Below are 24,799 nucleotides of genomic sequence, written 5' to 3'. Positions count from 1 at the left end.
CTGTGGGAGTTACATGGAGTTGGTCAAGCTTGATGAGAAGAGGATGTGTTTGATTCAGAAGATTGTTGTGTTGTTTTGTGCCCACAGACATTTTACTAAGATGATGATGATAGGTAGGTGGGTAGGTAGATGGATATTAATAACCACCATTTCCCCACCACTAATTGAACACCTACTATACACCAAACACTGCTTCACATCCTTTACACTCAATTCATGTTTCATCTTAATAGCAAATTGACCAGGTAGGTTTTACTTCCATTGTACAGATGCAAATGAGGCTTTGAGAAATTAAAGAACCAGTTGAAAGCTGCAGAGTGAAGGGGAATGCTCCCATTTACACCAGGCGTGTCTGACCTCAAAGTCCACGATTCTAACACCACACTCCAGAATGTCAGACCCACAAGAGAGCTCAGTACCAAGAGAGCTCAGTACTCATAACTAAATGCTTCTGGAACCCAAAGATTTCATTGAGAGAGTACTTCTTCTCTGAGAAGATAAAAAGAGACTTCTGAGGTTTCCTCTCATTGTTGTTAAGTACAAATTTCACCCCTCAGAAAGGGAATCACAAGCTCTCCCCAGGCCAAGTTCTGGTTCCCATTTCAGGAAGTACATGCAAAACTTTGTTTAGGTTGTCTCTGTCTAGAACATTGTTTCTCAAACTTTTTTTTCATTATTATTCCTCCAGGAAGAATTACTGAATTAAAATTAAAATTTAAAGTTAAGGCATCCTTAACAGGAGAAATTAAACATGAGGAAAGAAGGTTGTATTAGGTAGGTATGAACTTTGGAGGGCCACAAACTATTGTAATATCTAAGATTTTTATCACCCCTAAGGGATCAATTTTTGCTCCCTTGGGGGCAATCTTACCCCCACTGCAAATGCATGATGCTATGGTCTGAATGTGTCCCTCCAAATTCATGTTGAAACTTAATCTCCAATGCAATCGTATTAAGAGGGGGGGCCTTTAGGAGGTGATTGGGTCATGAGAGATCCTCCCTCATGAATTGGATTAAGGCCCTTATAAAATAGGCTTCACAGAGAGTTTGACCCTTTTTGTGCCCTTCCACCTTCTTCCATGTGAGGACACAGAAAGAAGTACCTCGCCAGGCACTGTATCTACTGGCGCCTTGATCTTGGACTTCCCAGCCTCCAGAGCTTAGAGTTTGAGAAGCAGAGCACTAGATCATAGGCTTGAAAGCTTAAGCTATTTTAGGATTGCAACAAAATCTTAGTCTCAACACGTTGCCTTTGAGCAACCTCACAGGTAGACTGTTACCATCATAATGGTTGGGGAGGAAGTCCAGATGCAACTCAGCTTAACAAAAGAAGGAGTAAGATGTGCAGGGCCAGCATAAGGAGCCCAGGCAGGGAGGAGGAGGCTCCATATGGAGCTGGGGTGAGGGAAAGGGCAGGTGAGGAAGGTTCTCCAAACACCTTGGAAGAATTCCTAGCCCATCAACTGTTTGGAACACATGGCTTGAGCTTGTTTTTCCTGCAACTTAGGTCAGGACCCTGTGGGCCTCATGGCTTGGAGGCAGGGGATACAGGGTCAGGCCTCAGCTCCTCTCCCTCTCTATCACAGCTCTGGGCCCAGAGACATTACTCACAGAGCTTGGGAAACCGATAAAATCTTTTGGTTCTAAACCAAATGAGGAGATTCTCTTCATCTTAGGCCATGTGATTCTCTTCATTATAATGTCAGGCCCAGGGGTGAACAAAGACAAGAAAACCCCAACTTTCTAAACCACCTGCCGACACCAAAGAACTAATTTAAACTGTCTCTTTCACCCAGTGCTGATGTCTAACTCTGTCTCAGAAAGTTGATGTGTGAAGCTACTGGAAATCTGAAATAAAAAGCATCCCTATTACCAAAAATGAGACTAATCACGTAAAGAGACGATGTCAGTGAGGTTTCCATACTCTTGACTTAAGCTGAGATGTGCTGATGCTTCTTGTGCTCTTTGATTCAAATAGCATGGCCAATGCACATTTTTTAGTTTCTTTTTTTGCCTTCAGTGAAAACATATGATGGTATTTTCTACCTGTGCTGTTTCTGTGTTTTTCATTTTCGTTTTTAAAAAGCGGTTTACTGAGCACAGGGACAAGGGAGCATGTGGGGGTGCACCATGACCAAAACTCTGAGTGTGGAGCAAGGTGATTGTTTCCTGAAAACGCCTGTGCCTGAAGCTGATGACAAAGAAGACCATGCTGAGCCCACTGCTGTCCTGGGAGGAGGCACAGAACTACTGGGTCAGAGAGCAAATCCTGGGGGTGGGGGGTTCTGGTGAAACTCTTGGCATCTTGTACACAATGAAAAGTCTAGGTGCACAGAACATATTAATAATAATGCTTCCTGAGTTAATGGGCAGGCTTATCTTGTTTGGCTGGATAGATAGACTTCCAGTCATCTAGAGTGGCCTTTGTAACATACAATGAGAAGAAAAGGAGTTAGTCACCAAGTGTCTGCCTCTTCCTCCACTGCCAGTCAGCTGAACAGATGCCTTCCATAAGTCAGGGCTTTGAGGCAGCTAGAGGCACAAGTGGACCAGAGAAAGAGAGAAGTAAGGTCTTACCCAACGTTCTGACCCCAAAGGGGCAGGACTTTCTCCCCCACTGCTGGTGTGAAACAGGAAGTGTCAACCCTTCAACAAAGATACCCTTGGGGCCACAGCAGGTGAGAAAAGGTGCCACTTCCTCCAGGTGGAGGCAACCCAGCTGTCAGGGCTGGTGGCAGAGTGGGATCAGGGATAGACCTCAGACCCCGAGCAGCATCTCAGAGGCCACTATGGACACAGCTGCTTAAGTTGACGTGGTAGTACTGCCGGCGTGTCTCTATTTGTTGGTATATTCACATCTCTAGTATGATTTCACACACACAGACACCCTTAAATAGGCACACACTTAAGCTGGGCAGAGTGGGGACAGAATACAAAATTTAGAGTCCTATTTACTTTGCAAATAACTTTTTCCCCAGGGTATGAGGTTTAAAACATGTAAAACAAAATTAAAATTCTAAGCCTCTTAACCAACTGGGTAGACCCTCCCCTTGGCCCAGGGGATTTCAAAGAAACCTGAAAAACTAGTTCAGGCCATGATGAGAAGGGGGAATTGGACATGACTCATTATGCCCTTCTCCCTTTTGGAGTGTAGACACCAATGACCAGCATTCACATTAAAATAGAGATCCTGAGACTGATAAACAGACTCTTTGCAGCAATAAGATACCAAATTCCAACCAGACTTTAGTATAACATCACATGACAGATAACAGGTTCTAAAGAAGATCAAAGTATTTTACCTTAAAATATATTTCTCTGACAAATTTTGAAACGGCCCTGCAAAGCCATCTCTTATGGGGGAAATTTATATTCTATAGAGAATCCCATTCCCTTTCCAAGTCTTTTCCTGATCCAGGAGAGATTTAACTGACACCTTTTAAGGTCCCATAAGAGACATTCACATCTGTTCTCTCTGAGGCCTGCTACCTGAAGTCTTCATCTACATGATAAGAACCTTTGCTTCTACAACCACCACTTCCTATACCTTAACTCAAGCTTACTACAACTCTTCAGGCAAAGCTTAACTCCTTCAACCAATGGCCAATCAGGACTTTTTTTTTTTTTTTTTTTTTTTTGGAGGCAGAGTCTCACTCTATCACCCAGGCTGGAGTGCAGTGGCACAGTCTCAGCTCACTGCAACCTCCACCTCCTGGGTTCAAGCGATTCTCCTGCCTCAGTCTCCTGAGTAGCTGGGACTACAGGTGTCCGCCACCATGCCTGGCTAATTTTTATATTTTTAGTAGAGACAGTGTTTTGCCATGTTGGCCAGGCTGGTCTCAAACTCCTGACCTCAGGTGATCCACCCACTTCGGCCTCCTAAAGTACTGGGATTACAGGCATGAGTCACTGTGCCTGGCCAATCAGGAAATTTTTGAATCCACTTATGGCCTGGAAGCCTCCCCTCCCAGCTTCAAGACATCCCGCCTTCCTGGGTTGAACCAATGTACACCTTCTGTGTACTGATTTATGTCTTTGCCTATAACTTCTGTCTCCCTAAAATGTGTAAGATCAAGCTGTATCCCAGCCACCTTGGACACATGTTCCCAGGATCTCTGGTGGCTGTGTCATGAGCCATGGTCCTCAACCTCGGCAAAATAAACCTCTAAATTGATGGAGACCTGTCTCAGATGGTTTTTGGTTTGGTTAAATGAGACCAAAGTTTTAGAAACATTTGAGTGGAATGCACTCATTTAAATTCCCTCTCCTCTAACAATGTTAAAGTAGAAAGTCCAAGTTGCTATTTCCTGAATGGGGAGTGTCCATGTGAGTAGGCTCAGCAAGCCCTATCCAAATGCACCTGCCTGGACCTTCTCGAGGAAAGGCAACCGGGCTCTCCCTCATGAGGCACTGCGGTTTTGTGTCATCAAACACACCCACTGAGAAGTGGGTTGCCTATGACCACACCAGAGATGGGAAATTCCTAACCACCAAGGCCCTAGGTAATATATCAGATGGACTTCTTTTATGCGGGTTTGATAGAGAGCACAATCTCAATTATGTTTTACAAATCCAAGCAGAGCTCAAATAATGCCCCTGCTTAGTAGCTTCCTAGTGATGACCATCCAGGTCATTCATCTTTCCCGCTTTTCTCAAAGGCCCAGTGAGAAGTCTGTCAACCCCAGCATCCCACACGGTGAAACCGGCTTCCAGCAAGCTCTCTCCCACCCGAGGCGCAGGCTCTGAGCCATCACCAGCCTTGCTGGGCATGTGCCCTGTGGACTGTTTGCTCAGCACACATACCCGGCTGCTACCACCAGAGAACATGAGCAATGCTTTGGACAAATAATGAAGTGTTCTGTGGATGACCTCACTCTGGAAATCTTGCTTTAGTGCTCTTCTGTTCATCCTAATTACTATCGCTTTTTGAGAAATTGGCAAAGACAAGCAAGGCTATCTTGCTCGGTGAGTTTTTTGTTTTTTGGGTTTTTTTTTTTCACTTTAATGAGAAGAACCCCCATTTCTGTCAGATGACTGAGGGAAAAAAGGGATCAAAGGAACCTCACTGAGGGGCTGAATGTGATCTCTCAAGCAAAGCTAAAAACTACCCCAGGAAATTCCAGCCTAAATGAGAAACTGGAACTGAAAACGCAACCTGTCTTAGAATTGGCTGCTTGGAAAACATTTGTCATCTAGACAAGCAGTGAGAAAAATTAAATGAGAAACCTGTCAAAAAGTAGGAAAAATGAAGATCTGATTTTCCTGGTGCTTTACCTGTTTTAGTAGACACTGTTTACCTTACTCTCTAAGGATGTATTGTCTTCCTATGCTTGAGAAAAAGAAGAATTCACATAATTAATGATGTTCAAAAGCCCTAGGATGCCTATAAAATAACAATATTAATAAGTTGGAACTGAAAAATAAGTAGAAATTGAGTAAAACCTACAGTCTCTCTAAAGGATTTTTTTATAACAGGAAGCCCCTGGAGTCAATCCCAAACTGACCTAAAAAGACCATTTAATGATAACAACAAAAAAATAGGATGTAAACACACACACACACACACACACACACACACACACACACCAGGGAGTTTGCAAAAAGTTTAAGAACTCAACTTGTCTGTACTGCAAATATGACAGCATTTGTTTTATACCTCTCAACAGTTGTCACAGAAACACTTTTCTACTTGTTAATATTCATTGATTCCCCAACACTAGATTCCTCTAATCTCCAATCCATAATTTGGATGGAGGAAAGGGATGGAACAGAGAGCTCATGCATTCTTGTTTGTACTCTACTTTTTTGGGATCAAAATTTCTTGGAAATTTTATTTTAGCTTTATTTGGTTATCATAATAATCTCCTTTTCCAAGTATAACTGCTAAGAAATAGTGAAATCTATACTTTGATGATGATGATGATTGCTACCATGTATTAGCTACTACTTGCCCAGGCACTGTGCTAGGCATGTTAGTCGTTAAAATAAGCCCATAAAGTAGGTTATATTCATAGTAACGAGGACGAAGCTGAGTCTTGGAGAGGTTACAATTTCCCTAGAAAGGCCAGGATTCCAACCTGAGTCTGGCTGGTCCAGGCTTAAGAGTCTGTGCTCTTAAGCATTCATCCACATTGGCTCCTTCCTTTAAAAAGAAAGGATTTGAGCCAGCCATGGTGGCTCATGCCTATAATCCCAGCACTTTGGGAGGACGAGGTGGGTGGATCACTTGAGGCTAGGAGTTCGAGACCAGCCTGCCCAATGTGGTGAAACCCTGTCTCCACTAAAATACAAAACTTAGCTAGGTGTGGTGGCGGGCACCCATAATCCCAGCTATTTGGGAAGCTGAGGCTTGAACCCAGGAAGCGGAGGTTGCAAGACAAGACTGCACCACTGCACTCCATCCTGGGCAACAGAGTGAGGCTCTGTCTCAAAATAAATAAATAAACAGAAAAGATTTTTTTTTTTTTTTTTGAGATGAAGTCTCACTCTGTAGCCCAAGCTGGAGTGTAGTGCCTGATCTTGGCTCACTGTAACCTCCACCTCCGGGGCTCGAGCAATTCTTGTGCCTCAGCCTCCCCAGTAGCTGGGACCTACTCGCCACCACACTCAGCTAATTTTTTTTATTTTAGTAGAGACGGTGTTTCATCATGTTCCCCAGTGTGGTCTCGAACTCCTGATCTCAGGTGATCCGCCTGCCTTAGCCTCCCAAAGTGCTGAAATTACACGCATGAGCCACAGCGCCTGGCAAGAAAAGATTCTTTTTATTCTATTCTAAAAATACAATGCTCACCAAGTTGGCAGTGGAAAAAAAAGAGGCAAAAAGAAATAAGAAAGTCAGATAATTTAAAAAATGGTCAACTTAGGCCGAATGTGGCGGCTCCCACCTGTAATCCCAGTGCTTTGTGAGGACTAGCAGGAAGGATCACTTGAGTTCAGAACACCCTGGACAACGTAACAAGACCCTATCTCTACAAAAAATTAAAAATTAGCCGGGTGTAGTGGCACATGCTTGTGGTCCCAGCTACCTGGGAAGCTGAAGCAGGAGGATCGCTTGAGCCTAGGAGTTTCAGGCTGCAGTGAGGTATGATCACATCACTGCTCTCTAGCCTAGGACAACAGAAAGAGATCCTGTCTCTAAAATAATAATAATCATAATAAACAGTCAAGTTAAAGCTTGCAGTCTGTTAGACTACCTTCATAGCTCAAAGATGAGGCAGTGTTTGGCATATCCAAGCTTAGGGCTGGTGGAGATTTCTGTGACTGCTCAAAATCTAGTCAATCTGTCAGCATGCAAGGACCCACAATGCCTTAGGGAGAGATGATTTTCAAAATGACAGCTTCACCAAATACCCATATTTAAATCATTAAGTGTCCACGAAACAGAATTACCTTCTTTAGAAAACAGGAAGAAAAGTTTGTCAATGAATACCCATTTACTTTCTCTTGCAAAAACTCACTGAACTATGTCTTTGGGATAGATATTTCAAAACTCACTGTACTACCCCGAAGATAGATATTATCAAAACCCAGAAAATAACAAGTGTTAGTGAGGATGTGGAGAAACTGGAAATCTCACACACTGCTGGCAGGAATGTAAAGGGATATGGCTGCTATTTGTAATGTCACTAGGATGCCATGCCATGACTACTCCCTTAGCATATACATAAGGTAGCGTTTTTTTTTGCGGGGGGGATTCTGGTGGATTTTTTTTTTGAGACAGGGTCTCTGTTGCCCAGGACAGAGAGCAGTGGCAGGATCACAGCTCACTGCAGCCTCAACCTACAGGACTTAAGCAATCCTCCTACCTCAGCCTCCTGAGTAACTGGGACCACAGGTGCTCACTGCCACACCCAACTAATTTTGTTTATTTTTTTGTAGAGATGAGGTCTCACTATATTGCCCAGGCGGGTCTCGAACTCCTGGGTTCAACTGATCCTCCTGCCTCAGCCTCCCAAAATGTTGGGATTACAGACATGAGCCACTGAGCCTGGTCACCCTTAGTATATTAAAAGACTGAAGGTCAAGGTATCTCCATTAGCTTACGAGAACTGACATTCCCCCTTCCATCCAACCACACACAGTCCTGCCTGTATGCCACAAGCCCCACCCAGTTGCAGGTCCACTAAACAGTCCTTGCCTGCAGAGTTTACTCTTTGATGGGGGAAGACAGAAAATAATAATCCAGCACATGAATATACACCATGTCAGATAGCTGAGAAGAAGAAAATACATAGCAGGCAGCTGTGCTATATTTCAACTAAGACAAAATACCTTAAAGAACTTGATGTGTGTTATTCTGAAAAGAATTCCTGTATAAAGACAGCGCCTGGGCTCCGAAAACAATCCCTGACTTATTTGTCCTGTGACAAACTTAAAGGAAATCTGTAACAAGATCTAACAAATTCCAAATATACCTGAAACAGATTTGCTATCCTCTTTATTTATATTTCAACCCCTTTGAAGTGCGTTTTCAAAATACCATGTGTTTGCGAGGGAAGCCTGTGACGTCTGCTCTCTGTGGCTGCTCCTGCATTTTCCTTTACCTAAGGATGTGGGGGCAAGAGCAGGTGGGTGTGGCTGCAAGGGCCGAAGCTGAGGAAGAAGCAAGGTCAAGCATTTTGCTCACCAGGTAGGACTTGTCCATGCCTAGTGATTTCAGCAAACAATTACTGGGTTTCACTCACTTAGAGCAGTGAGAGAAGTACAGTTCCTCCCCAGCAGTGCAGCTTTCTAATGGGGAAAAGCAGCATTCCCTTGCAAGATGCGTGACCTAGAAAAAGGATCACTTGCTCGGTTCAGCAACTTCTCAATGGCAGTGTTTCCCGACTATTGAAGCCCACAGGACCCCTGCGGCTTATTCAGGGCCCTAGTCCTTAATGACTGCTAACAGTGAGAGGGACCTACCTAGACACCTGCAGATTTTAAACAAGAATCCAAGGTGAATTTAATGATAAGCACATGAAACCCTGAAACATAGATTTCCAAACAAATAAGACAATAAAAAATGTATGAAAAGGAGTAACTTCTGAAAGCAAATCTACATCATGACTGACACACACTGCAGGCAAATGGCCTTATGGGGGCTTCCCCCTGCATTCCGAGTGAAGCCAAGAAGAACTGGAGGGCTGAGAGTGAGGGGGTTATCTGATTTATGCCTCAAAGCATTGCTCTGACTGCTGTGTGACCACTGGGCTGGGGGAAGCCACAGCTGAGCACAGGAGTAGAGAGCCAGCTCCTAGATTACTCACTTTGAGTGTGTATTCAAGTTGGGTCAGAGTGACCATGTGCAGGACTTAGGAAGGTGAATCTACTTTGAGGGTAGAACCCCAGACTTGCTGAGGAATTGGATATACAATGTAAAAGGAAGAGGGTCAAGAATGACTTTGAGTGTTGGGATCTGACAGCTCCAAGGACAGAGGTGCCATCAACAAAAGGGAGAAGATGGCTGCTGGCACAGGTTTTGGAAAAGGGGGTAATAGGCACTGAGTTGGGGTGCATTGAGTTTGACATGCCCAACACACATCTTTGGGCAGATGCTGAGCCAGCAGGGGCTCACGGGAGCAGTTTGGGCTGAGCTAGAAGCTTCGGAGTGGCCGGAGTCTAGACAGCTGTGCTGGATTAACTAATGTCCCCCCAAAACTCACGACCACCCGGAACCTCAGAATGTGGCCTTATTTGGAAATAGAGTCTTTCCAGATTTAATTAAGGATCTCAAAATGAAATCTCACCCTGGATTTAGGGTGGGCCCTAAATAGAACCACTGGTATCTTTATGAGAGAAGGCAGAGGAAGGTCAGAGGCCACCGGAAGACAGAGGTGGGAAGAGGAGCAGTGCGGTCAACAAGACATGGAATGGAACATCGGAGCTGCCAGAAGCTGGAAGAGGTACGGAAGGATTCTTCCCAAGAACCTGGAAGCACAGCCCTGCCTATACCTTCATTCCAGACTTCTGGCCTCCAGGACTGCAGGAAAATACATTTCTATTGTTTTAAGCGCCCTGACAGCCCCAGGAAATTAATACAATGCTTTCAATGGAATCACTTAGGAGACTTAGTGTGGAGAAAAAATAGGTTGAAAGAGTGAGTTCTGGGACATTGCAAGGTTTAACCACTGGGCAAATGAGAAGCTGGCTGGTGAGGGGGAAGGAAAAGCAGAGAACAGTGTCCCAGAAGCCAAATGAGGAAAACGTGCCATGAGGGAGTGAGACTGACAATAGCAGACCCTGCTGGTGGGCAGCTAGGAAGATGCTGAGAGATGGGTGCCCTTTGGATGTAGTGTCCTGAGGGTCACTGCTGACTTGTGCTGCTGGGGTCGAGGGGTGGGAGGTTCAAGAGAGGGCGGGTGGGGAAGAACTGGGGGAAACTGAGCATAGTTCCTAAAACACTTCTGTTGTCAGGGGGAGGAGACACCTGGAGGCTGAGGTAGCTGGAGAGGGATGTAGGGGAAAGTGAAGGCTTTACTTTGATTCCTATGGGAAGTGCAGAAGTGAGGGAAAACGCTAATGCGGAATTTCTAGAACAGTGTCTTGAAACAGCAAGAGAGCACAAGACCTGATGCATGTCAGGGCTCTTGGCTGGCAGCTTCTCTTGTCTCAGGGAAAGAGACAGCAGGGAATCCACAGAGAGAGGCAAGTAGGGGAAGGTTTGAGGGCAGAGAAAGGGAAGGTGGGGCATTGTTTCTAGCAGGCAGTGAGAGGGAGCAGACTGGGCACATGTCGGGGTTCATGAGGCTCCTCAGGCTGGTGCTCTTGAACTGGAAATGCAGAAAGCTGCTAGGCATCTCAGTGCAGGTCACAGCTGTTGTGTGGACATGAGGGCAAAATAGGTGAAGGGTCGGACTTCCATAGGGCTGGCATTTTACCAGGTGCGTGTGACATGGGGGAGGGGCAATGAGTGTCTCCAAGCTAGGGGAGGAGAGAAGAGAAGCAGGAGCGGAGGGGCGGTAGGGACAGGCAGGTTCAAGGGACGGGAAGTGCTGGTGACAGGCTGAGGCTGTAGGGGCTGGAGCGGCTGCAGGAGGGTGAGTGGACAGAAGGGAGGCAATGGCTGAAGTGGAAACGATCAAATGAAGCAATGAGCAGCAGAATTGGTCAGCCTGCAGAGTGGCTCGAGGGGAGAGGACAGAGTCTTGGAGGGGAGGAAGTCAAGACACAGAGAAGCCAGCATTTGAAGGTGGGGATGGCTACAAATGATGGAATGATGACAGGGCTGTGCTGGGAACAGCAAGCCAGCCGGAGCTGACCACAGCAAGGAGGAGTGTTCGGGGATCCGAGGACCACAGCAGTGAAGTGAGTCAGACTGGCACAGTCTGATGGCGTGGACTCCAAAGCTGGGGGTCCTGGGTGGGGGAGGTAGAAGGTCTGGAAATGGAAAAGAAGATCAAGCCGTACAGCTCCTTGTAATGCATCAAAAATACCTCAGCACACCATTGGTTCCATTGACAATACTACAGGTTGAACATACCTAATCCAAAAACCCAAAATCCATATTGCTCCAAGATTCAAAACTTTTTGAAATGGTTAATCAGTAAGTATAATGCAAATATTCAAAAATCTGAGGATTAAAAAAAAAACAAAACCAAATCTGAAGCACTTCTGGACCTAAGCATTTTGAATAAGAGATACTCAACCTGAAGTATAAATGTAATTTTAATAATCATGCAAGTAGTTGGCTCTGTAACATATAACATTGCCAGATAATGATGTTACAGACACTGGGGGCGCTGGGTGGAAAATGAACAAGAGCTGGAAATCCTGACTTTGTTAAGAATCCGCCAGCCCATCACCCTGGGAACTCTAGCATCAACCTCTGCCAACAGGTGCTGAGAAAGGGCTCTGTTCAGCGCCCAGGGAGAGGCCACGAGAGGCCCTGCATGACACTGGGGGAGGACAAACCTGTTCAGTTGTGGGGTTTTTTCCCTCCAAATTAAGCAGAATGCATCTGCCGTTGGCTTCAATGTCAAATACTTCATTTATAATTTCTCATTCCTCCTGGTGTTCTTTATGCCACAAGGAATGCAAAACAAAGCTGCACTTTGTTTTTCCCACAGGCCCAGATACTTGTATTCTACTTCCTTCTTCTTTTCTCACTTTTATTTCAACCAATGAAGTAAGTTTTGTACAGGAAAGTAAACCTATAGTTAGAGGAAGGGGAAGAAGAAAATACTTTATGGTTAAATACACCTGAATAATGACTCAGAAAACCTTTTCAAAAGCATGTGTTCTGGCCGGGCACGGTGGCTCACACCTATAATCCCAGCACTTTGGGAGGCAGAGGTGGGAGGACTGCTTGAACTCAGGAGTTCAAGACCAGCCTAAACAATGTAGTGAGACCCTATCTCTATATTAAAAAAAATTTTTTTAAACACACAAAAAATATGTTCTTCTAGTTACTCATTCAGAGCTGTATGAAGCAGAGAATAAAGAATTTATTGTTTTAAACGGAATATAGTCAATCCCCATTTTAAGTGGCCAGTATAGTCATCCAACAAGCATTTTTGAGCATCTACTATATACAAGGCACTGCACCAAGTGCTGGGGATAAAAAGGTAAAGAAGAACTTATCAAAAAATTCAAATTGCAGTACACGCTATGGAAGAAATGGGCGGGGACCGAGACTGAGGAGAATGGAGTAAGCAGGAGTTGGGATGGAACTGCTTCAGAAGGAAGGTCAGGGAAGGTGCCTGTTGATAAGAGGTGTGGTGTGGCTCAGAACAAAGGGTGAGCGCTTCCAGGAAGTGGGCTCTGGAGAGGCACTGGGATAGGGAAGAGCGTGGTGGGCTCAGTGCTGAGGAATCAGTCACATGCACAGGTGTTGGGAGTCTCTCTGGGTGTGGTGGGGACCCACTGAACGGAGCTGAGCAGGGATGCAAAACCATCCAGTCTGTAAGATTCACAGAGACCGAGAACAGCACGGGGGTGGCCAGGGGCTAGCAAGCGGCCGCGGGGAGCTGGCATTGAGTGGGCAAAGAGCTTCCGTCTGGGAAGATGAAAGAGTTCTGCAGGTGGATGTTGGTGATGGTTTCACAACAATGTGAATGTTCTTACTGCCAACAACCATAAACTTAGACATGGTTAAAATGGTGTAATTTGTGTTTATTTTACCACCACAATTTTAAAAAGGCAAAAATTTTAAAAGCATCCAATTGTCCCTGCCTACTTTGTGGAGCCTGGAAAGAGGGTAGCCAAAGAGACAGGAGGGAGGCTCATTAGGAGCAGGGCTGCCTGGGAAGACATGGGCACCCTTCTGTTAAAAGCTAGTGTTTATCCAAAATCCAAATTTGACTGTATACCTTGAATTTCTTCTGTTTGCCAAACTGGACAACACCAGTTAAGAAGCAACTGTGGGGCACGATGGTGTATGCCTGTAATCCCAGCTACTTGGGAGTCTGAGGTGGGAGGATGGCTTGAGCCCAGGAGCTCTGGGCTGCACTTTGCTATGCCCATCCGGTGTCTGCACTAAGTTCGGAATCAATATGGTGACTCCTGGGAGTGGAGGACCTCTAGGTTGGTTAAGAAGGGGTGAACCGGCCCAGGTCAGAAGCGGAGCAGCTCAAAACTCCTGTGCTTAGGAGTAGTGGCATCATGCCTGTGAAAAGCCACTGCACTCCAGCCTGGATAAAATAGTGAGACCCCATCTCAAAAAAGACAAAAAAAAAGCAGCAACTGCAATAGTGCAGATGAGAGACAATGGTGACCTGGAGGAGGGAGATCTATTTTGGAAGAAGAAATGAGAGGACTTGATTATGAGTGAGGAGGGCTGGGCAGACCATTGGCTGAGAAAGCCATGGCTCAGGGGGACCCTGTGTGGCCACCTCCCGGGGACTGTGGCCTGCCTAGGTGGAATGCTGCCTGTGCACATGGGCTCTGAGCCCTACTGGGGCAGGGCCTCTGGAGGGCTGTCAGCTGCAGGCCTCATCTCCAAGGAACAGGTCTTGATGTGGGGAGGGGAAGAGGCCAGGAGGCAGCAACTATGGCAGGAGCTCGGGTGGGGTCTTCCGCACCAGGGTGGGCGGCCCTCTGGCAGCCCCGGAGATGCTGTGGCATCCCTCTGAGCCTTGGGCAGGGTGTCAGGCTGCTGCTTGGCAGAGAGGAGCTGCCTTAGAAACCATACCAAGGAGCCCAGACACACCATTTCCTGGGGTGACGCTGAATCAGGGTGAGATCTGCAGAGCTGTGCTGGGTGGAGGCCTGAGATGGGAACCTCAGCAAAACCTGGGGAATGCATTCCAGGCACCAAACTGACCTCAGAATACACATTTCAGTCAAACCGGTCTTAAATGGGGGCAAGGGCTACTTTTGGTGACTCAGTTTTTAGATGCTTCTCATTGTGTTTCACAAAGCCCCACGAGCTGCAGAGCTACAGACACAAATGCATAGCTACAGCACGTGCTCCGAGGGTAGGCGAAGAATGCTGTGTTTCTACAGAAGTCTACAAAACCATATATTTTTAAAAACCAATAATTTAAGTTCCTCTCTCAGTAATTTTATTTCATTTTATTCCATCACAGAAGAAAACCACTTTAAAAAACAAGAATGAGGCTGGGCACGGTGGCTGACGCCTGTAATCCCTGCACTTTGGGAGGCCGAGGCGGGTGGATCACCTGAGGTTGGGAGTTCAGGACCAGCCTGGCCAACATGGTGAAACCCAACTCTACTAATAATACAAAAATTAGCTGGGCGTGGTGGCACACGTTTGTAATCCCAGCTACTCGGGAGGCTGAGGCAGAATTGCTTGAGCCTGGGAGGCGGAGGTTGCAGTGAGCACCATTGCACTCCACCGTGGGTGACAAGAGCAAAACTCCATCTCAAAAAAAAAAAAAAAAAAAAAGAATGAGAAGTGCATGGTTTCATTTAAGTACAGAGAAAAATCACATTTTTTTCAAGAGTGAGGCATGCTGAGCGGTCAGGGAAGCATGGAGAGAAAAGCGGCAGCAGAGGAGAAAGAAAAAGGAAGAGGAGTCAGCCAGGGCTAGGGAGGAGCCTGTGCAGGCAGAGAACAGGGTTCTAGGGATCAGGAAGAGGGAGAGAGGCCAAGGGCTTGGCTTCCACCCAAACCATGTCACTGAGAAGGGTCCAGCCAGGTTCTCAAAGACTTCCCTGTCGCAAAGTCCCGTGGCAGTTTCCCTGCTCTCTGACTGCGTGTCAGAACTCCGTCGCCTGCGCTGCAACCCCACCTCCTCCTTACAGGCCACTGTGCTTCTGGTGTCCCCAGCCTGCTCTCTGACTTGTCCCTCTCAGCCCTTTCTTTAGGGTCTGTCTGGGGCTGTCCTCTGCCCCTTCCCACACTCTCTAGGGGACCTCATCCAACCCCTATTTATATGACTGTCTGCAGCACCAGCCTCCTTGAAGCCTCTAGCCCCAGACCCCTATACTAAAATGCCTGTCCACGCTAGCTGCCCATCTCTAGCTGATGTTTCATGGCACTTCAAACCCAGTACAGCAAAACTAATTTCATCAGCCACCTCAACCCCGTGCCCGCAATGGCGGTCCTCAGCTGCCCCATGCACATTCCTTCTCTATTTCTATGTGCCTGTGATAGGCAACACTGACCTCGCTCAGGCCCATCCTCCCTCCCTCATCCCTGGACTCTAGCTTTCACCCCTTCTAATCATTTTTGTATACGGTGGCTGGGGCAACTTTTAAAGCACAGGTCTCATCCTATCACATTCCTGCTGAAATGCTCAGTCGATCCCCATTATCCCCAGGCAACCCACCTCAGTTTCATAACTCAGGCCTCACACCTGCTTCAGGGACAGCACCAGGAAAGCCACTTGGTTGAGAGGTTTAAGTATCTCCAGACTTGGGCTGAACTCCTTCAGGTGCTTCTTGGCTTTAGTGAGGGGTTGGGGAGAGGGCCTGAGAATCTAGCTCTGAATTGAAAAAGCTCAGAAGAAGTCCTGTCCGTTTCAGAGTGTACCCTTTAGAGACGAGCTCTGTTTGCTTTTGTTTTGTTTTTTTAGAGGCAGGGTCTTGCTCTGTCACCTAGGCTGGAGGGCGGTGGGTGTAATCATAGCTCACTTGAGCCTCAACTTCCCGGGTTCGATCAATCCTCTCGTCTCAGCCTCCTGAGTAGCTGGGATTACAGGCACGACCATCAGGCCTGGCTAATTTTTTTTTTTTTTTTTTTGGTAGAGATAGGAGTCTCACTGTGTTGCCCAGGCTGGGCTCAAACTCCCAGCCTCAGGCAACCCTCCCACTTCAGCCTCCCAAAGAGCTGGGATTACAGGCATGAGCCACTGTGCCAGACAGAGATGAGCTCTGGGCTAGAACACAAACTCTCCCATTCCTTTTCCATCCCACCCTTCCTGGTCTCAGTTTTAAAAAACAAAACAAAAACAGCAACAAAAACAGTAATAAAACAAAATGTTAGGAGCATGAAAAGCTGAGAACTCTGTGATTCTCCAAAAGTCAAAACAGACCAATTTCTATAAAGAACACCCTGGTGTGTTGGGGGAGAACAGAGGTAACATGAATACATATTACAGTAAATACAAAAAGCATCCACTAATGATTTAAAGGCCTACTTTGACTAAAAGGGTAAAACTGTAAGTCCTGTTGAAACTATTTGCTGAGTATAAGCATTTTTATTTTGTACAGATACATTTTTTAAACCAGAGTTATCTACAAAACAGTTTAGTCTTCCACAACTGAGAATGAACCGGTCTAGTTTATTTTTATTTTTATTTTTTTTTTGAGACAGAGTCTTGCTCTTGTTGCCCAGGCTGGAGTGCAGTGGCACGATCTTGGCTCACTGCAATCTCCGCCTTCTGGGTTCAAGCGATTCTCCTGCCTAAGCCTCCTGAGTAGCTGGGATTACAGGCGCACACCACCATGCCCGGCTAACTTTTGTATTTTTAGTAGAGACCGGGTTTCACCATGTTGGCCAGGCTGGTCTCAAACTCCTGACCTCAGGTGATCCACCCACCTCGGCCTCCCAAAGTGCTGGGATTACAGCCATGAGCCACTGTGCTCGGCCTAGTTTCCTTAATGTCCATGTCTCTCAGAGTGCCCCCTAAGCTGTTCTCTCCATATACCCCCACTTGCATCCCCGTGTACTCCTTTTCTGTGCCTTTATGCACGAGGTTCCTACAACTGAAGACCCATCCCTGCAGCCACACCCCTTCCCAAGCTAGCAGGGCTAATCCTGGCTCTCAGGGTGACCTCCTCCAGGAAGCCCACCTTCCACCTGCTAGCCCACCCTACTACGCTCCATCCTCCTCCATGTACTCTGAAAGTAGCATGCGGTGCCCACTCTGACAGCCCTTGCCATATCCCAGGGCTGTACCCTGTCTTTGCCTGCAACTCACCTGTCCCCCACTCCATGCCATGTGCCGTTTGCTCATCCCTCCTGACACAGTGCCTGGCTGTGCTCAGGATAGCTGTGTGAGTGAAAGGGAGCGGGCCACACCAAGAGGGTGAGGGGGCTCAGGGAGAGCAAGCCAAGTGCTGGAGACAAAGGTCAGCTGGAATTTACTCTCCACTGCTCCCTTCAAAATGCTTTCTTGCTTTCTTTCTTTCCTTCCTTCCTTCCTTCTTTTTTTTTTTTTTTTTTGAGATGGAGTCTTGCTCTGTCACTCAGGCTGGAATGTAGTGGTGTGATCTTGGCTCACTGCAACCTCTGCCTCCTGGGTTCAAGTGATTCTCCTACCTCAGCCTTCGGAGTAGCTGGGATTACAGGCACGCACCACCAAGCCTGGCTAATTTCAAACTGCTTTCATCTCCACTTTTCAACTGTGACCAGCTGGTGATAAACTCTGCCCACTCCTAAACCACTTCAGTTGAATTCTAGCCCTGCAAGCTTCCATGATGAGTACCCAAAGAGAATAGCATTTTGTGACTTACGGTAGCACTCACCAGAAATTGCCACCCCTGGTCAAAATAACATTAAGATAAGAGACAGATCTTGCCTGCAGGCCAAAAGCACCACCACCTCTGCCATACACTAACCCAAAGCTTCCCAATCAAATTTAAAGCAAAAATAAATTCTGCCTTATTTGCTATTTTAACAGCCAGTCATGATTCCTCTTGCTTAAATATGCAAAACAGCCCCACCCCCACCTTACCAAAAAAAAAAAAGAGTTCCTGTTTTATACTATTTTTAAATGACAGTTTCCTATTCCTTTGGCTTTTTCAGAAGGAAACTGCATATGATCCACTTTTGCAATTCTGACAGTAACTAGTTTCATTTGTCCATTTTCTAAGTTTTCATGGTCAAAGTTTAAGCTGAAAACATAACACTCATTATTCAAAAAAGATAAATAGAGCATTTAAGTGCCCAACATGTAAGTACTGCATTAAAGTGATATATTTGTGTTCCCTTATTTAGAGCAATGCTAAAATCTTATATCAATGTCATCTGCATAGCCTCAGAATCATTAGTTGCAACTTTTGGTGACGATTCACATAGATAGTCTAAATAAAAGGAGATGTCCTTAGTCATGCAATATTAGAGCTGAGGCTGTGGGAAACCCAACCTGTGCCTCCCATCTCACAGACGAGGACACTGGTGCCCACAAAGTGATTTTCCCCATGCAGAAGCAGGTTTTCTGGTTCTTGGCTCAGTGATTTCTCCATCATTAGCATAATCTAGGCTCCATTTACAAAATCATGGCAACATTTCTCAAATTCTGAGAAAGAGCTAACCACCAGCTGTGTTAACATTTGTATACTGAGAAAGCTGAGGTTTCCAAGCATCAGCTCCAAGCAATGCCCACTCAGGGACCATCACATCCTGACCACTATGTGGCCCCTGAATCCACAGCGGCACCCGGCTCAGATTCCTCTATGAAATTCATGAATGCCTTCTTCAGTGCTGGCTGTTTTTCTCTCTAAGGAGCCTCTTGTGCTTGAAAGAGCGATTGGGAATGTGTAGGCCTCAGTAAGAGTCATGTATGAGAATTTCCACGTGGAGGGGAGATTATATATGGAGTGGGGAGCGGATCTGGCCTCCTGGTTAAACCGCAAACCATGTCAATCACCTGCGGCTTCCACTTGCCACCACGTCTGACTCGACATCTCAATGCAACTCTCCCTCCAGCTTGAGTGAACTAAACATGAGGACGCTATCAATCAAAGGTTGTTACTAATCAAGGCTTTGAAGATAAAGCAGTTGATTCACTGGGATAATAGCCTTGAGGTGGAATATGAGCGTCTAACACATCTCTTACGTTCCAGACAAAGAGACAGAAGAAGAGACCCACTTTGGATGATATTGGCAAATATTCTAGAAACTTCCCAAGAACTTCCCCCTCTAGACCCTTCAAGCCTGATTTACGACCAACATACTGGTGAGTTTCAACCAAGAGATATTACAAGGGCTTCCCAATCTATACACTGTTTTCTCACTCAGTAGCTACAACCATGAGGGTGTGCTCAGAAAGCTCTGCTGTTAAAAGGCCCTCCTACTCAAAAAGGTCGAGAACTTCCTAGATAGAGTTTTCCTACCTTCCTCATTTTACCAATTTCCACCTTAAAATGTGGCTTTAAATTTAATACTGGGGGTAAAATATACCTTGAGCATAACCTCCATCTTGGCAATAAAGACTTTTGAAGTGGAAAAAGCTAAAGAAAACATTAATTTTGATGGTCAAAATCCATAACGGGGAAAATGCATATCACAGTAGGGTTGAGTGCAAAATGACCATAACAGCAACTGTAACCATGAGACAACAGCAGGCTGCAGAGGAAAGAATCAGTTATCTTGAGTCAGAAGTCCCTGGATCAAGTCCCAGCAATTCCGCATACTAGCTCAGTAACCTTGGCCAAGTCCAAGTTTACCTCGTTATCTGTAAGAGGTACTAAACAACAAAATATATGCTTTCAAGGCTGTTGGGCTCAAATTAGATAATGGAGGTAGAAGTGCTGTATCAACCAGAAGAAGCTAAAATAAATGTTACTTGTTGCCATGATAATTACAACAACTCTGATTTTGCAAGTTTTTTGTTTTGCTTTGTTTTGTTTTAAAGAGACAGATTCTTGCCACATTGTCCAGGCTGGTCCTGAACTTCTGGCCTCAAGCAATCCTCCCGTTTCAGCCTCCCAAGTAGCTGAGACAATAGGTGCATGCCACTTTGTTTGGCTTGATTTTGCAGTTTTTACTGACATTTAACTCACAAACAATTGTTCCATTTTTAGTAATTTTTGCACTTCAGAGATACCGCCACCAAAGAGTAATAAATGCTTTGATTCACTTGGTCTGAATTACAAGATGATTTATTTGCTCTCCAAACTGCAACTGTAAATTTTTCACTGCTCTTTCCTCTCAGTTTGACATGTCTATGATTCCATCTCAGCTTCTGGTGAAGGAAATCCCCACTGGTTTTAACCCCTTTTCTTTCCAAGTTCATTTTTCTTCTCTGACATAGGGCCTAAAAGCCAAGGGAATTATGCAAAGTCTCTCTGCTCTGAAAGTATCAAACTTCCTTTCCAAAGAGGTATTTTCCTATTTCAGCACAAAAAGCACTAAATTGCTTAATTTAATACAAAGAGAAAAGCAGTGGGTAAAGCTGCTGTAGTCAGGATTTCTTGATCTATGTTGAATGGGCTATGGATGGTTGGAGAGTGTGGATTATTACACTTGAGCTCAGACAAGTCTTTCAGAACTCATTCTGAGACAGGAAGTGATGAAATCAGCTCTCACATGAACTGTGAGGCTGTCACGTGCACTTAGCCACTTTCTGTCTCAATGGGTGACAGGGGAATGCGGAGGGGAGAGTAGGGCATGGGGAAGTGGGTAGTGGGGAGCGGGAAGAAGAGGCCAGATACAGATGGTGGGAAAAGTCCCAACTCTGCCCCTCACAGTTTCCCTTATTCTTCTAGGGCTAGGATTAAGTAAACTGGGTTATTTCTACTCCCAATGACCAATCTCTCATTGTGACAATCTGCTGAATTTAACCACCCCTTGTGAACATTCAATTTCCCAACTCTGACGCTATTGACAACGGTTATGGAAGACAGCAAGTCGCATCATTATCGCACAGCCTACTAACTGTTTAGTTAGAGCTGACACAGCAAATGGACTTCTGTAATTCCTCTTCTGCTTTATCCCTAAATTTCCACCCTAAATAGTAAAGTGGGGGGAAGGTATAGAAAAGGTTGGATTATCGAAGTATCTGGGCCCCAGGGATCTCTGTCACCGTGGGGCAGCTTTAATAATAATTCTATTGTCATGTTATGCACTATGGAAAAGTGATAGATTTAATTAGTGGCACATGATAGAGAAGGAAAGGTAAGATAATGCAGAGATGGCCTTCTTGGCACAGACAGATCATTTCAGAAAGGTGTGTGAAGGAGGAGGAGGAGCACTGGGTAGCAGTGGTCATCAGTGAGGGCATCCCAGGCGGACGAGGGAGCAGGCGCAGTGAGCAGAAACTAGAAGTGGAAGGTATGGGATTTCAGGCTGAAGCTGAAGCGTACAGGCCCTACTCCTTGTTGCCAAGGGTAAGACCCCTTTCTCAAATTATCTGTATTATAATAAGAAAAGCCACAGGTACAAGAAGCAGATAATGATTAAGGATGGAGACCAGGTGGTCTCACCAGCGCCACCTTGAGGGAAGGGCTGGGAAAGAGTCTGAGTGAGGTTTGCAGCTTGAGCAAAGATGAACTCAAATGGAGCCAGTGCTTAGTTGTAAGGAAAATGAATTTTGTGCTGAATGAACATACTTAGGGTCCTGCCGGCTGCTGCTGACCCGTGACTCTCCCAGTGACACTGAGCAGTTCATGCACTTGAGCCAGATGAACTATGGGTTCCACCAAGGGGCCACTGCTAGGAAAGAGACCCTGGACCTGTGAACATGAGTTCACCTGGCACGGGCTGGATTTGGTAAACTGGCTTGGATGGAGACCACTGGTGCCGACCTTGATTGCCCCCAGGCCCTCCTGTCACCGAGGGGGCTCAGCCCCATCAGTTGACAGGAGAGTCAACTGAAGCCCCCTGGAATCCACAGCACAACAGTCACAGTCAATGCCAGGCTCTGTGGTAATCTTCCTCGTAAGCTATGAAGGTCTAGAAAGTAGCTTCTCCCCCTATTCATTTCTAGGTTAGAAAAATTACTCTTCGAGGTTAGAAAAATTACTTTTCGAGGTAATGGTAGTAATTCACTAAATTAAAGACTCAGCATAGAGGCTTTGACTTGGACCTTAAAAGCTTTGACTATGTCAAGATAAAGTCTTACAAGATAAGCCATGCAAAACCCAATACAAAATACCCATGTGACAAAATAAAGTCATTCTCCGGGTACAGTACATACCCAATGTGTGTAACTTCTACTCTAAAGAACTGTGGGTACAGATCAGACCCCCAGCAGATGGAACGGCTGTGACCACTCAGGCCCTCCAGGCCATGTGTCCCGATGTTCCATAGCCCTGTACAAGTGTGACAAACCTTTGTTACACTCCTCAAGTCTCTTGACCCATGGGGACACCCAAATCACCACCTGAGTAGAGGGCCTCATTGATCCGTGTAAGTATGGCCCAAGTTTATCAGACTTCTGCTTTCTCCATTTCCTGATCTGTTTTCTACACGGGTTCTAGAGCTGTGCCCAACCCCACCTATTCCTCTTACTGCAGAGAGGTGGTTTTCAAACTATAGTTCTGGAAACCTTGGAATCCCATGGAGCCTCCCAGGGGCCAGCATAGACTTTGAGGACAGGGCTAAAAAGGCAGGGCTGCTGGGTCCTTTCCTTGCCCCTCTGTTCCACCACAGCAATTATGCTTCTTTCTTATTAGATGTTGGCATTTCAGGGCACACTTGAATTTCCAACTCAGATGAGGAACCTGTTAGGCTTGCCAAGTCCCGGAGGTGGAGAGGATGCCTGAGCACTGTGACTCACCCATCACACACCTTTACTGGAAGGATGGGCATTGCCCTCCCTTGGGTTTTCCCAGCTTCCACCAGCAGGCTCTGAGGTGCTTGTGTCCGTGCCAAGCATGTGACACAACAACATCTGTGTCTGATGTGACTCTCAACAACATCTCCTTAAAGCAGGAATTACCATTCTGTTTTACAGGTGAATAAAGTAGCCCAAATAGGCAAAGGGCTTCTGAAATGGAAGCGGTATAGCTATCGAGTGGCAGAGCCAGAACACAAACTCCAGTCTCCAGGTGCTGAATGCCAGCTTAGCCCACGATGCTCTATTACAGAACCTGTGTCCAGCCCTACCTTAGGTGAGGTGCTTCACCTCTGTACTCATGCATTCCTTGGATCTCGTATTCCCAAGAAGGCCGTAGCAATTTCCTAACTAAAAGAGGGTGTGAGGGAAGAAGTGGCAGTGAAAAAGGAAGACTATAGGGACCAGTCTTCCCTAGAACTTCTATAAATCTCTTTTGCTACATACACTGGGCTTCATGAAACCACCGATTGCCAATACTGAGAAACAAGCAAGCAAACTGCTGAACATTACTAATGGACACAATGAAACTAGTAAAAGCCAGCAGCTGGCATCATTCAAGTGTGCATTTCCTTGATATTTTGGGCACATTGTGGGGCTTCTGGATAACTTGCTTCTGCTCTTAAATACACTTCAGGAAACATGTGATTCCAAAGTAAATAAACAGGCAACTCCTAGGCTAGTACTAAAAATAGTACAAATGAATATTTCACAGAATCCTGATGGCACATCCAACAAGAAGGAGCGAGAAGAGGAGCAGGAAAGTGACATAGTTCCTCTGTTTTCAAGAATACAGAGGACTTAAAAGTATCCATACATTCGATTCGTAACTTAAATAAAACATACGCATCATTTAAAAGCTGCTGTGCTTACATAGCATGGAACTGCCTCTCCCAAATGCTGAGAAAGTGATTGATTCAGCTGCACTGTTTCTATGACTTATGAAATGAACATAAAGAGGTTGACTTGGTTTATAGAAGATGATATCCAGGTCAAAACTCAACACGTACACACAATCCATGTGAATGTCCTATTACTATCTCCAAGAATTGTATTGTGGAAGGTCTTTTTCTCATAACTGCTGCTGGGAAACATTCAACAGAAATTCCTTCTCCCTGGAACAATAACTCCTTCATGAATTTGACGCAGGGAAGTCTTTGCAAATGCACGTGCACACGGGGCTTTTTGAATATGTTACCTGAGCAGAAAAGTCAATGAGCTTTGGAAGCAGCACTTTGCCACCTTCATCGCTCTTCAGGAAATCCAGCAAACTGCCTATGGAGAAAGAAAGAACAAGTTAGTGCATTCCAAACACACAAGAAAAAATCCAAACAAAATTCACATCATCATTACTATTACAGGGGAACTCCCCACAAAATGATTGGCTTTGCAATTCTGTATGGTTATATAAAGCCTTTTCCTGGCATTGGTCAAACGCAGTCCCCTCTAATCTGTTACCTTTGACCTGATGTGAAACATGGCATGTGCTCCAGGTGAGAAAGAATGTGGGTGGATACCACTTTTCTCACTACAGGTGTCTGAGAACCATGCATTTCAGAGTACTTGCCACCATGATCCACTCACTGCCACCTCCCAATCTTTAGCGAGCTCACTGGAAGGCCTGCCCTCTGCAGACACTTGGCCAGGCTCACTCCCATCTGTATTCAGCAAAAAGCACAGAACTTGGCACTTACTGTAGGTGCTCAATGAATGTTTTCTGAGATAGGGTCTTACTCTGTCACCCAGGCTGGAGCGCAGTGGCATGATTACATCTCACTGCAGCATCAGCCTCCCAAGCTCAAGCAATCCTCCCACTTTCAGCCTCCTGTGTAGCTGAGGGTACATGCCATCACACCCAGCTAATTCTTTTTTTTGTAGAGATAGGATTTCACCATGTTGCCCAGGCTGGTCTC

General features: G+C 45.7%; 1 protein-coding gene and 1 pseudogene across 3 annotated transcripts in view, besides 7 other annotated features; one reads left to right on the top strand and one right to left on the bottom strand.

Annotated features, from left to right (window-relative positions):
• LYN (LYN proto-oncogene, Src family tyrosine kinase) overlaps nucleotides 1-24,799 on the bottom strand; it is a 134,335-nt gene that overhangs the window by 20,292 nt on the left and 89,244 nt on the right. For all 3 annotated transcript variants that reach the window (NM_002350.4, NM_001111097.3, XM_011517529.4), the window contains one exon: nucleotides 24,085-24,161. In NM_002350.4, the coding sequence (NP_002341.1) occupies nucleotides 24,085-24,161 (77 nt within the window). The remainder of the gene's footprint in view (nucleotides 1-24,084; nucleotides 24,162-24,799) is intronic.
• Nucleotides 1,408-1,567: an enhancer, noted in NCBI's record as "active region_27396". NCBI's record gives its function as "activates an Ori minimal core promoter by ATAC-STARR-seq in GM12878 lymphoblastoid cells {active_cell/tissue: GM12878}" and the evidence as "EXISTENCE:reporter gene assay evidence [ECO:0000049][PMID:35858748]".
• Nucleotides 2,058-2,157: an enhancer, noted in NCBI's record as "active region_27395". NCBI's record gives its function as "activates an Ori minimal core promoter by ATAC-STARR-seq in GM12878 lymphoblastoid cells {active_cell/tissue: GM12878}" and the evidence as "EXISTENCE:reporter gene assay evidence [ECO:0000049][PMID:35858748]".
• Nucleotides 2,468-2,527: an enhancer, noted in NCBI's record as "active region_27394". NCBI's record gives its function as "activates an Ori minimal core promoter by ATAC-STARR-seq in GM12878 lymphoblastoid cells {active_cell/tissue: GM12878}" and the evidence as "EXISTENCE:reporter gene assay evidence [ECO:0000049][PMID:35858748]".
• Nucleotides 2,998-3,087: an enhancer, noted in NCBI's record as "active region_27393". NCBI's record gives its function as "activates an Ori minimal core promoter by ATAC-STARR-seq in GM12878 lymphoblastoid cells {active_cell/tissue: GM12878}" and the evidence as "EXISTENCE:reporter gene assay evidence [ECO:0000049][PMID:35858748]".
• Nucleotides 9,026-9,222: a silencer, noted in NCBI's record as "fragment chr8:56897215-56897411 (GRCh37/hg19 assembly coordinates)". NCBI's record gives its function as "represses an EF-1alpha promoter that drives an FKBP-Casp9 reporter gene in an ReSE screen in HepG2 liver carcinoma cells {active_cell/tissue: HepG2}" and the evidence as "EXISTENCE:reporter gene assay evidence [ECO:0000049][PMID:32094911]".
• Nucleotides 12,901-13,401: an enhancer, noted in NCBI's record as "H3K4me1 hESC enhancer chr8:56893036-56893536 (GRCh37/hg19 assembly coordinates)". NCBI's record gives its function as "activates a minimal SCP1, AML or CMV promoter by ChIP-STARR-seq in primed H9 embryonic stem cells {active_cell/tissue: H9 hESC(primed)}" and the evidence as "EXISTENCE:reporter gene assay evidence [ECO:0000049][PMID:30033119]".
• RN7SL798P (RNA, 7SL, cytoplasmic 798, pseudogene) lies at nucleotides 13,338-13,638 on the top strand (annotated as a pseudogene).
• Nucleotides 13,446-13,946: an enhancer, noted in NCBI's record as "H3K4me1 hESC enhancer chr8:56892491-56892991 (GRCh37/hg19 assembly coordinates)". NCBI's record gives its function as "activates a minimal SCP1, AML or CMV promoter by ChIP-STARR-seq in primed H9 embryonic stem cells {active_cell/tissue: H9 hESC(primed)}" and the evidence as "EXISTENCE:reporter gene assay evidence [ECO:0000049][PMID:30033119]".

This window comes from Homo sapiens, chromosome 8 (assembly GCF_000001405.40).
Source record: "Homo sapiens chromosome 8, GRCh38.p14 Primary Assembly".
Classification (NCBI taxonomy): Eukaryota; Metazoa; Chordata; class Mammalia; order Primates; family Hominidae; genus Homo; species Homo sapiens.
This window is presented reverse-complemented; position numbering and strand designations above follow the sequence as displayed.